At 35.0% G+C, this 12,445-nt stretch overlaps 1 protein-coding gene across 6 annotated transcripts in view; it reads right to left on the bottom strand.

Moving 5' to 3' along the window:
* HDAC9 (histone deacetylase 9) overlaps positions 1–12,445 on the bottom strand; it is a 915,592-nt gene that overhangs the window by 271,758 nt on the left and 631,389 nt on the right. For all 6 annotated transcript variants that reach the window (NM_001321868.2, NM_178425.4, NM_001321877.2 and 3 more), the window contains one exon: positions 2,902–3,079. In NM_001321868.2, coding sequence (NP_001308797.1) covers positions 2,902–3,079 — 178 coding nt within the window. The remainder of the gene's footprint in view (positions 1–2,901; positions 3,080–12,445) is intronic.

The raw sequence follows: 12,445 nt of genomic DNA, 5'->3' as shown, positions 1-12,445 counted from the left end.
AGTGCTTAGTTAAGATGGAAAAGACCATAAATTTATGGGTGGAAGACATGAACAGAAATGGGTTCCTATTGACCTCAACTGGTTCAATACTACTGGCTGTTGTAGGCATTCTCTGGGAGTCTTAGAATAGCCCCCATGCAGATAAGAAGGTCTACTGTATTCCTAAAGAACATAGGTGAATGTTCCTTTAGATTGTTTAACATGTCTGCAACAAATAGATATTAAAAAGTCAAAAGAAAGGAGATTAGTGCTTAAAAGATATATTTTCAATCATACTAGAATGAAAACCTTACAGTTCTCATCTGAAATCAAGATCATTAGAAATACTAAAGTGATTTTTGAGATCATGTGGATTACAGTAGTTTTCAGGCTACAGGGGAAATTTAAGATTGGATTAAAGCCAGAGCAATATGTGGAATAGCAGAGTGAAGATGGTGCATTTCATTTCCTTAGGATTTGGAATAGTACTAAATGAATGTTACATATCAAGTATATATATATTTTAATCCCAATGCCAGTGGAGAAGCTATTATTATAAATTGCATATGTTGCATGATTTTAAAATATTGTGCGTTTTTCTTGTAAGATTTTCAGTGTAAAGATGCAACATTCTTGTAAGTTCAAATGAGCTAACAAATATTCCTCTTAGTTATTGTAACTTGTAAATAACTTAGCTATCCTTTAGCGGAACAATAGTTACAATGTAATTTTTACTTTCAGTGTATTCAAATTTGAACTAGTAAATTCGTGTTTATTATGAAATTAATATTCATTGATTCAACTAAAATGTTTATTGAATGCCTATTAAGTACAAAATCCTGTGTTTTCTAAAATAATTTTATATAATATCTCATGTGGACAAGGAATTGCCTTATCAAATCCATTATATATAAAAAGAATCTTAAGTTCACTTTCCTATTTGTTTTTGGAATACATGCTTTGATAAATACTAAAATGTTGACATTATGAGGGGGAAAAAAACCTAACTCTCTGAAATGACCTAGTCTTTGTTTGAATGATCAGGGTAGGATTATGTCCTGTTTATGTTGCTGGGTTTACAGTCTACCCTTGCATCTGGATTCTTCTAAGGTCTACAAACCCTATCCATTTGGCAACACAGTTTCCTTAAACTCCAGGTTCTCTCTAATATTCAGATGTCTTGCTTCATTCATTCAAAGGAACATATGAAAACTAGAAGACACTGAAGTATGTCAGAAAAGGGCCACCCCTCTTAACCAAGGAAAGAAACTTTATCCATAGGATTACAGTAATATACAGTAGCAAACTTGGGCACATCAACAGGAAACTTTGTAGTTAAGCTTACTTAAGGAATTTATTTTTAATATTATTTTTAATTTTTAATATTATTATAATATTAAGGAAATTATTTCAGTCAATGGAAACAGTTATTTTGATAGAATGGTTGTTACTCTGTATTTTCTGAAATATTAGGGTTGAATAAAAGACACTTTCAGGAGAAAGAATAGAGAGTAAGTAATTCTTAAAGGCTATTGCTCTTTCTACATGCAAAAAATTATTCCTCTGTATCATGTATCTGGTTTTGAGCAAAAACTCGGTGAATCCACAGGGATAGCACCAGGCATGATTGATTCAAAAGGCTGCCACTAACACTGGGCAGTGTTCCTGGGTTTTCCGGAATATCTGGGCAGTTTTGCTATGCTCCTGGAAGTAGAAGAGTCAGAGGCAATGGCTAGTACGGAGAAAGAAATAGACCCAGCTCATAGCTCCTAGTATGGAATGTTTTCTTATGGCATAAAACATTATAAAAAGTCACTTCTATGCATACTTATTAAAGATGCCTACCAAAGGTAATTAACTTGGCTATTTCATTCATTAATTTTTAAACTAAAGATAATATCAAGGCTTGGGAATATGGTTTTAGAAAATAGATTTAACTTTTCCAAGCACGAAGGCTTGCATGAGGTCACAGAAGCCACAAAAACAAGCTCTGAATCCTGAAAATGGATTTTAAAATAAATCAGAGAACTCAAAAGAGCCTTTGGGGAAGGTACATATAAATTCGTTTTCTGCAGTATCCAAGTTATGAGTCTCTTAGGGCTACAATATATTTCATTTGATTAGCCACAGTTTGAGAACACGGAACTAGAATGGAGTAGAGTACACAAAAAGAAATAATTATCCACGCATATATGTACAGCACTGTTCCTTTGCAGAGGGAATAGCACCCTTTGTGTGTGTGTGTGTGTGTGTGTGTGTGTGTGTGTGTGTGTGTGTTCCACACTTAACCTTCCTTTGGCCTTGGAATTATCTGGCTTGTTTTCCTCTGTAGTCAGGTTCTGAAATATCAAACACAGCTGTAGACAAAGGAAGAGGTTGGTCGAAAAGCCCACCCAGAGATTCCATAATGAATAGAAATGAAAGTAACATACATAGAATCAAGTGAAGTTTGCTTTGGTACTATAGAATCCCATGAGTCATTTGCATGGGGAACCAGAAGAAAACAGTGAAATAAAACAAACAAACAAAAAAACAAACTGGTTAAAGGGTACTCTTTGGAGTCAAATGAGGAAGCCAAGCATCATCAATTTCCTAGTGACTGGGCAGAAGGTAAGAGTAGAGATTGAGGAACACTGCTAAAGAATGTTGCAGGGATTTTCATTTCCAAAAAACTCATGCACCTGTTGATGTATTTTCCAGGCCCTTGGATGATAGCAATTTATGAGGCTATTAGTACTAAGCCCAAGATTTATCAGATGTGCTGTTTGTCTTATAGCCAATATAACCTCGTAAAATTTGGGTTGCACTGGGTTAAAATGGAGTGTTCTGCTATTGGAGTTATTCAGAGCATTTAAATCGGTTAATCCTACAAGAACGGGGCATTTAGCCTGCCTATTAGAGAGAGTCTTTAGGGATTCCTACCAGTTGCAGAGCCAGGCTGGAGGGGGCGGTCCATTGCTGGGTGAGGTAAAACAGAGGCAGCAGGGGAAGAGTGAGTCCTGGAGACGAGACGGTGTTTCTCTAATCCATCCATGCCAACCGCAGCCAGCGGAGCTTGGCGCACAGAGAGCGCACGTGTGTGCGTGGGTTCCAGGAAAGGCTGTTGCCAAGAAAAGAGCACAGTAGAAAGAAATGTGAGACAAGGATTGAGGGAGACACTGAGCGACATGTCAACAAATTAAGTTCATCAGGTCAGAGACATAATAAACGGTGTGAAGGAAAAAGAAAAAAAAAATAGAGAAAGGGAGAGAAAAAACAAGATCCAGTCAATAAATCCATTCAACAGATGTTTTCACACTGACGGCCAGGGCCTGTCTGCCTGGCTAAGGAGGAGGTGATGGCAGGAGGCCTGTCAGTTTGAACTGATTGAAAGAAACAGACCTTTAACCTCAAGAGTAACGTCGACTTTGACTCATTTCCTACCTAGATACCAACGTTTTGAATACAGCCCCAGAACTGCCACACAACGTGGGAGAACAATTCAACACTTTCAAACTGCCAGTGAGGCCTAATTCTGAAAATTCTCTCCTGAATTTATTTCAGTGAATATTGTTTATGAATTCTATGGATGTCTCTAAAAATGACCAATTACACAATTATATTTTGACACCTTTCAGTCTTCATATATTGGTATAGAAGAAAATGAATATTTCATAGTTTGTATGGTATAATTTCAACACTATAAAATTATTTGGTTTTTAATATACTATTAAATATATCCTCAGTGATTTAACGCTGTTATTATTCTTCATCCTTCCCAACTTACCGAATCAGTGAATCACAGTTTGGAATTTTATGGAAGATTCAGTTAGTCTCTTCCTCTGTCTCCAAGAAAAGATATTCTCAAACACAGATAGGCAGCTTATTTAATCATCAATGCTACACAGCGAGCTTTGTGCAAAAAAAGGTATGTATTTCAAAATATATATTTTAAATATATATTCTTTCAAAATTTTATTTATTAATAAAGAATTTATTTATTTATTAATAAAAATATTTATCAAAAATATATATACTACACTGAATATTTTATCTTCAACATGAGGGAGTTCATAATCTTTATGCTGTTTTTATTTATCTTTCCTAACGAATGTGAAAAATAGCTGAACAGTGGTAAAAAACATAATACTCTCTTGCCATGGATAAAGAAACTGTTGCTCCAAATGTTACCAAAGTATTTTTAAACGTCTAATTCTAGTAATTTTATAAATGTGTGTGCTCTTCTGCTTCTGCTTCCTATCTGACTAGCATTTGTTCTTTCAAGACTTGAGGCAGACATTACTTCTCCTTAGTTAAGGCCTTGCCTTAACCTTCCTGCTAGACTAGGTGCTCCCCTTCTACCTAATATGTGCCATCACAGGTCATACTCATCCTGTATTTTCACTCAAGGCTTGGTACATGCTAAGTGTACAAATTACACTGGCTGAGAAACTTACTGAGAAAGCTAACAAATCTGTATACAACACAACTGTACTCATTGCGTATTATGTGGTTTTACGTAATTGTAGCTTTCTCTGTACATGATATGAGTTAATGCTGCATATAAATCTATAAATTTGGATTATAAATATAGATTTAATTACAGACCATAAGCAGAGATTTCTGAATTTAGAAAAAAGAATGATTTAAAATCAACTTTAAAATAGGTTATAACTAATGTGTATGTTGTTACTTCTGTTTTGCTCTACAGAATAATCAAACCATCAATCAATTGGAAGGTATATTTCACATATTGAGGCTTTGGGCATTCGCTTCGATGATTGGGATGGATTGGTCAGGGACCTAGTTCTAGCTACAATGGTTTATACACTTTTACAAGAGTCTAACTCTCCTGTTTTCTTGAGTGTCTTGTGTTCAGTGTTCTGAGGACACAGCAGTAAGATTAATATAGTCCTTCCTCATATGGAACTCACTGTTACAGGGAACACAAATATATAATTATGATTTGGGGGGTTATGTCGGGAAAAGGAAGCTTTTCCACATATGATCTACAATTCCTGGGTACATGTTTATCTGATTTTTTGTAATATCCATCTCCTCCCTTTCTTTCTACTATAATTTCTTCAGCTCCCATGTAAGACATGGCAAAAAGCTCCTAACTGATCACCCAACTTCTAATACCAACCAGTCCTATTCCTTCCTGCAAGAATTCTCTTCCTGAAGCCCTGCAGTAAGCAAGACATTAACACAAAAAGACTCCGAAGTCAACCCAAATTTGAAGAATCTCTACAGCCTGTCATTTGTACTCTCCTTTACCTGAGGCTAACCTACATTTTAAGCCTTAGATCATTTATTCTTTTCTAAGTTCTAACCGAATACTATCTACTGAATATCAGATATCATTCCGAGGGCTGCAGTATGACTTTCAGGGGCCCTGTGCAATTTTACCTTTGTGGACTTCAAAAAATAGTATTAAAAACTACATTTTAAGCCTACATTGGCATATATTGGATTCATTATTATATATTCATATGATTAGATTCATTTTTTTCTGATTAAGAAATTAAAATTTAAAATGTTTTGTGGGCCCCTAACAGCAAGCATATCATAGGCTTTGGGCACTGTGTCTGCTGTGTCTCATGGATATGTTGACCATGAACATTCATGCTTCTTCCAAGCCATCCTTTCTAGATCACCCCTCTATGTGTGGCTATGAAGCTCCACATTCAGCACTACACACATCCTCTAAGGTCCACTTAAAATTTCACAGTGTTTTTTGAACACACATTAATTGCGCTTTCCCCTTCTGTTACATTCCCATCACATTTTGTTTTTCTCTCTCCTTTCCCTGCCATAGTCTTTTATATATTAGAGTTATTGCATGCAGTAACTATTTCTTGAGCTCACACTCCATGCTGGACACTTTGCTAGTGTGCAGAACCTTTTTTATGCTTATTCTCTAGTAAGGAGACAGATACTAAAGACAGCCATGCATTCCATAACAACATTTTGGTCAAGGATAGACCACATATATGACACTGGGCCCAGAAGATTATAATGGAACACAAAAATCCCTTTCACCTACTGACGTATGAGCCTTCCTAATGTCATAGCACAATTACTTTATTTTTAATAATTTAGTGTAGCCTAAGTGTACAGTGTTTATGATGTCTACAGTACCATGCAATAATGTCATAGGCCTTCATGTTCACTCATCAGCCAGTCGCTGACTCACCCACAGCAACTTCCAGTTATGCAAGCTCCACTCATTCTAAGTGCCTTATCCAGGTATATTATGTTTTACCTTTTATAATAAACTGTATTTATATTGTACCTTTTCTATGTTTATATACACAAATTGCCTACAGTATTCAGTATAGTAACATGCTGTACAGGTTTGTAGGCTAGGAAAAGTAAGCTATCATATATGGCCTAGGTACATAGTAGGCTATACCATCTAGGTCTGTGTAGGTATACTCTATGATGTTCGTACAACAATGTAATTATAAATACAGTGAGTGCTATACAGGAAAAATTCGGGATGATATGAAAAACTTTTAAGAAAAACCTGTTGAAGAGGTTCAGGGAAATTTTGTTTAAGAAAGTGATGTTTAATTTTAAATATGAAAGACAAATTGGAATTAACCAGGTGACAAATGCAAGGAGAAGCTCTAAATACATTTTGCATGGGTGTGTGCATGCACATTTTTGTGTGTGTGTAACATGATCTTTCCTTGTATAACGTTGAAAGCTCGTTGAACCAGAAACTGGATATAACTCATCTTTTAACTTATTTTCTGCTGCATTTTATATATTTTCTCATACTTTCTAGAAGCCATATTATTTTGTCTGTGCATTAAGAAAATGCAATAGATATTTGGAAATGAAAGGCCATGTTTCTTTTTTTATCACATGGCCATGTTTTAGATGACTGGGGTTACTAAATATTTTTCCTGTTAATGAGTAGTTTGATACCGTAAGGACTCCATTTAAATAACACCACCCGCTACCTTTCTTTTTTTTTAATAGTAAGTAAGTATTGTTCTACTTGAGCTTCACTGAAACCCTGTAAGATAAAACAGTTTGCTAACTCAAAAGCATTTTATAAATGTTACATCATAGTATAAAATTTCACAATTCAGTAAGCAGCATCCTACCTGTCCAGTGTCTACCAGAAGGAATATGGCAATATAAGTAAGAAACAAATAACTACTTGTCTAATATTAATTTGTTCCTTACTTATAACTGTTCATCCAATATCTATTGCTCAACCAAAAGGCAACAGTCCTTGTGCTGCACTGTACAGACAGCAAAGGAGATTAAGGATGTTGTGGGTTGGCAACAAAATTTAGGCACTTGCACCTTAACCGTAGTTAGTAAGTTCCATGAAGAGATGACCTTTGGCTGTTATATATTCCCATGCATATCATTCCCATGCAGTGTTTCACACATAGTGGGCTTTAATAATATATATTTTTCAGTTTTAAATGAATGCATAATAAGGAGAGAGATATATATAAAATCATCCTTAAGATCTTATTATAAGGATAGGATAAAACAAGGAAACATATTATAAGCAATCACAACACAAAATAACCAAGAAATGGCTGAGAAAAAAAATATGAGAAATAGAGTCCAGACAAAATGATTACCAAGGGACGAAATCCTAAAATTATTTTGTGTTGGAGCCAAGAGATAATGTGAGAAAAGGTCCAGTGATTTGAGGATTATTTTTCCTTTGAACTTTCATGTCGTTTCCAAGTTTTCTGCATATTACCTATATTAAAACTGTAATTAAAAAAAATGGTAAATGTTATTTAAACTAAACAGTTAAATCTTCCAAACACTTTATTAGGACAGATTCATAATTATTGGAACTATGAACAGAGATGGGCCAAACATTTTTGAACTTTCTTTCAAAATAGGACTATAGAAGAGAGAAGTTTATTCAAAGAGTTGATTGCAATTATACACTTTTACAAATGAAATATGGCTTTCAATGTATAAGGAGAGTTATAATAATCCAGTAAACCACATGTTATTATACTGCATATTAATCACTGAGTTATCATTAAATGCCAGGTCACTTTTATTTTAGGATAGATACCCAGCCTCATTAACAAAAGCATCCTTCTTGAGCTTGAAAGCTGAAATTACATTTTTCTGTTGTCTCTGGAACTGATTGAAGTGTTTCACTAAGCCAGTTTTTTTACCATTAGTAGTTTTACTGAGATAATTTTATTCATGTTTATACATCTAAGTAAGTATGAAAGAGCATGCTTCTCTCTTACAGTGCTGAAAAATTTAAATGTCAAACAGTTCAGAATCTACTGTTAATAAAAATTAGATAAATACCCAAGTTAACATTTTACTTATTGAGCACCATTAGAAAATGTGTTACCCCCCTTAAATGAATAGTTAACATGCTCTCCACAAAAGCATTTTTTATTAACATTTATTTTACATATTCTCTATTGAGTCTATTTTTTATGCAGTCAAAGTATTCGTCTTTCTTTTTCAGCTGATTCACCTGGGGACTTTGTTTTGATGGGTTATTTTGCCAGATGGTCATTCTGGAAAATACTCTCAGCTAACTGAGATGTGTAAGACAACTTTTCATTATATGGTGTGGTCTAAGGCCACTGTGCTCAAACATCTGTCCACTCCCACTGATAAAATTCATGTAATTACTTTGACAGAAGAGTTGTTATGCAACTATTTTGTAAATTCCTCAATATTGCCTAGTAAAACATCAATGCCTTTGTGGCCCCATCATTCTAAGTGGTAGGGCATAGGCATTGCCATCATTTGAAAGTGGGTAGGGATAGTTCTAGAAGGTCTTTGTATGACAAGCATAATGTTCTGGCTTAGAATTAAATATTTTCTTGGGGGTGGCCTGCTAATGGAGACTACGAAGTGCTAAGGTCCCTGAGTTAAGGAAATTACATGGTTCCGTTTTTTGTAATAACAGATTTTTTTCTGTTTTGTTTTGTTTTGTTTTGTTTTGCTTTGCTTTCTTGTTGCTATCGCACAGGGACCAAATGTATAGCTTCTGGGTTTTCACTTTGCTCTGGATGATCACATTTGCTTCCTGACCTGTGGGTGGTTACTCATGGGCTAGAATCAATATCATCATGGACTTTAGCAAGAGCAAATGACAGAAATCATAAATCATAATGCATACTCTGAAAATACAGAGCAAGAGACACTCATAGACTACTTGGAGGAGAGTAAATTGTTTTAACACTTTAAAGAAGAATTCACGAACATTTAGTACAAATAGTTTATATTTACTATAAACTATCGCAAATATGGTGAGTGAAAAAAAGCAAAAGAATATATGAAAAATTTTTATTTCCAAAATTTGCAAATTAATATCACATATTAAGTATGTTAATGAAATTAATAAAAAGTAAAGACATACATGAAAAAATAAACAGCAAATTCAGAAGGGAAGGAATGAGAGGGGCAATAGGAGAGAGATACATAGGAAACTTGAATTGTACCTGTAGTGTTTTATTTCTTAAGCTGGATGTTATGAGTGTTCATTGTTGTAATATTTATACATATTAATTGTTTAATAATTTTTCAAAAATAGAATTAATGCTTATGGCATGTTTGTCATACATAAAACACCAATATTATTATAATAACTAACCTTCCACATACAGATACCTTTACTGTAAACACTACATTTTTGTAGAAGAAGAAGAAATTAAGAGAGAAAATGTAAAAATAAATGAAAAAAGAAAATAAAAATAGGCTGGGCACAGCGGCTCACACTATAATCGCAGCACTTTGGGAGGCCAAGGCAGAGAAATGCTTGAGCCCAGGAGTTCAAGACCAGCCTGGGCAAAATAGGGAGACCCTATCTCTATAAAAAATTAAACAACAAAAAAATTAGTTGGCGTGTTGTCAAATGCCTGTAGTCCCAGGAGGCTGAGGTGGGAGGATCACTTGAATGCAGCAGGCTGAGACTGCAGTGAGCCACGATCAGGCCACTGGACTCCAGCCTGAGTGACAGAGCGAAACTCTGTCTCAAAAAAAGAAGAAAAGAAAAAAAAAAAAGAAAAGAGCATAAAAATACGTTTGGTAACACATTTTTTTTTTTTACTAAGGTAAAGTATGTGAATTTACTTTCAGGTCATATATTCATAAGATATACATTAATCTGTACCAACTATGAAATAATTTCACTGATAGATAAATGAACACAGTAATATGTATAATTAAGTATATTTTGTCTTTAAAATTTCAACATATTATCATTTTGAATTCACTCAGTAAGAAAGCCGTTAATGACACTAAAGGGACTGAAAAATTAAGAAGACTATAAATTGGGAACTTAATATGATGATTTGAAACAAAAGAATAAATCCATTAAAACATTATTAAAATTAAATGTAATTATAATTAAAATTAAATAAATTAATTAAAATGCAAACTTTAAGAAAATAATTCAATTCAATAGCATGAGCCAGTTTGTTCAGGTGCAGAAGAAAATACCAGAGCTTCTCATATTTAATTTTTAAATTAAAATATAAGAAAGAACATAAATTATACCAGTATTTGATATATGGATAGATACTACCATTTCTACCCATTTCCTGCATCAAAGGTCACATATATAAACTCTATGAAGATATCCTAATATAGGAAGAAGAGTCTAATTTCAAAACTTACTGTACTATACAGGTACAGTAATTAAAACAGTGTGTTCCTTGCTTAAGGATAGACATGTAGATCAATGGAACTGAATTGATAATCCAGAAATAAACTCTTACACTTACGATGAATTGATTTTCAACAAAGGTGCCAAGACAATTCAGCAGGGCAAAATATTTTAAAAATTCTTCCTCCATGAAGGACTTTGTAACAAATAGAACAGGGACAACTGCATAACCACCATCGCATTTTCGCAAAGGAATACAGTAAAACTCCATTCCTCATGCCATACACAAAAGTTAACTCCAAATGGATCATGGAACCAAATGTAAGATCTAAAACTATAATATTCTCAGACGAAATAGAGGAGTACTTTTTTTGCGTATAAGACCAAAGGCAAAAGAGACCCCCTCCCCCAAAAAAATAGGTTACTTAAGTCAGGCAAGGTGGTTCACACCTGTAATCCCAGCACTTTGGGAGACCAAGGTGGGTGGATCACCTGAGGTCAGGAGTTCAAGACAAGCCTGGCCAACGTGGTGAAACCACATCTCAACTAAAAATACAAAAATTAGCTGGGCGTGGTGGTGTGAGCCTGTAATCCCAGCTACTAGGGAGGCTGAGGCAGGAGAATCGTTTGAACCCAGGAAATGGAGGTTGCAGTGAGCCGAGATCGTGCCATTGCACTCCAGCCTGGGCGACAAGACAAAACTCCATCTCAAAAAAAAAAAAAAAAAAAAAAAAAAGGAAGAGAAAAAAATAGGTTAATTAGGCTTCATTGAGGTTAAAAAATGTTGTGCTTCAAAGGACACCATAAAGTAAGTGGAAAGGTAACCCACAAGTTAGAGAAAATATCTGCAAATCATGTATCTGGCAAGAGACTTGTATCCAGAATATGGAAAGAATCCTTAAACACAATAATCAATACTAACAGGCAATCCAATTGAAAATGAGGTGAACAGGTAAAGATAACAGGCAACCCAATTTAAAAATGGGAAAAGTTCTGAACAGACATTTGTCTAAAAAAGATAGGCTTGTGAATAGATGCTCACTTCATTAGCTATCAGGGATTTGTAAATCAAAACCCCAACAATTTACAACTTCACACCAATTAGAATGTTTATTATAAATAAAAAATAAAAAGCAAATGCTGTGGAAGATGCAGAGAAATTGGAATTTTCATACACTGCTGGTGGGGGTGTAAAATGATGCAGCCACTTTGGAAACAGTTTGTGCTCCCTCAAAGGGTTAAATATAAAGTTACCCTATGACCCAGCAATTTCAATAATATGTATACACCTAAGAAAAATGAAAAAATACTTCCACATAAAAACTTGTACTTGAGTGTTCATAGCAGCACTATTCGTGAAAGCCCAAAGTACAAACAATCCAAATGTCCACCAATTGATAAATGGATAAAAAAATTACGCTTTATCCATAAAATAGAATATTATCTAGCCGTAAGAAGGAAAGAAACAGTGATACATGCTACAACATGGATGAACCTTGAAAACATGAGAGAATAGTCACAAAAGACCACACACCTGCCAGGCACGGTGGCTCACACCTGTAATCCTAACACTTTGGGAGGCCGAGGCGGGTGGATTGCCTAACCTCAGGAGTTCGAGACCAGCCTGGGCAACAAGGTGAAACCCCGTCTCTACTAAAATGCAAAAAAATTAGCGAGGCGTGGCACCGTGCACCTGTAATCCCAGTTACTTGGGAGGCCGAGGCAGGAGAATTGCTTGAACCTGGAAGGCGGAGATTGCAGTGAGCCAACATCGCGCCATTGCACTCCAGCCTGGGGGACAGAGCGCGACTCCATCTCAAAAACAAAAAAACAAACAAAAAAACACATACCATA

This window comes from Homo sapiens, chromosome 7 (assembly GCF_000001405.40).
Source record: "Homo sapiens chromosome 7, GRCh38.p14 Primary Assembly".
Taxonomy (NCBI): domain Eukaryota; kingdom Metazoa; phylum Chordata; class Mammalia; order Primates; family Hominidae; genus Homo; species Homo sapiens.
This window is presented reverse-complemented; position numbering and strand designations above follow the sequence as displayed.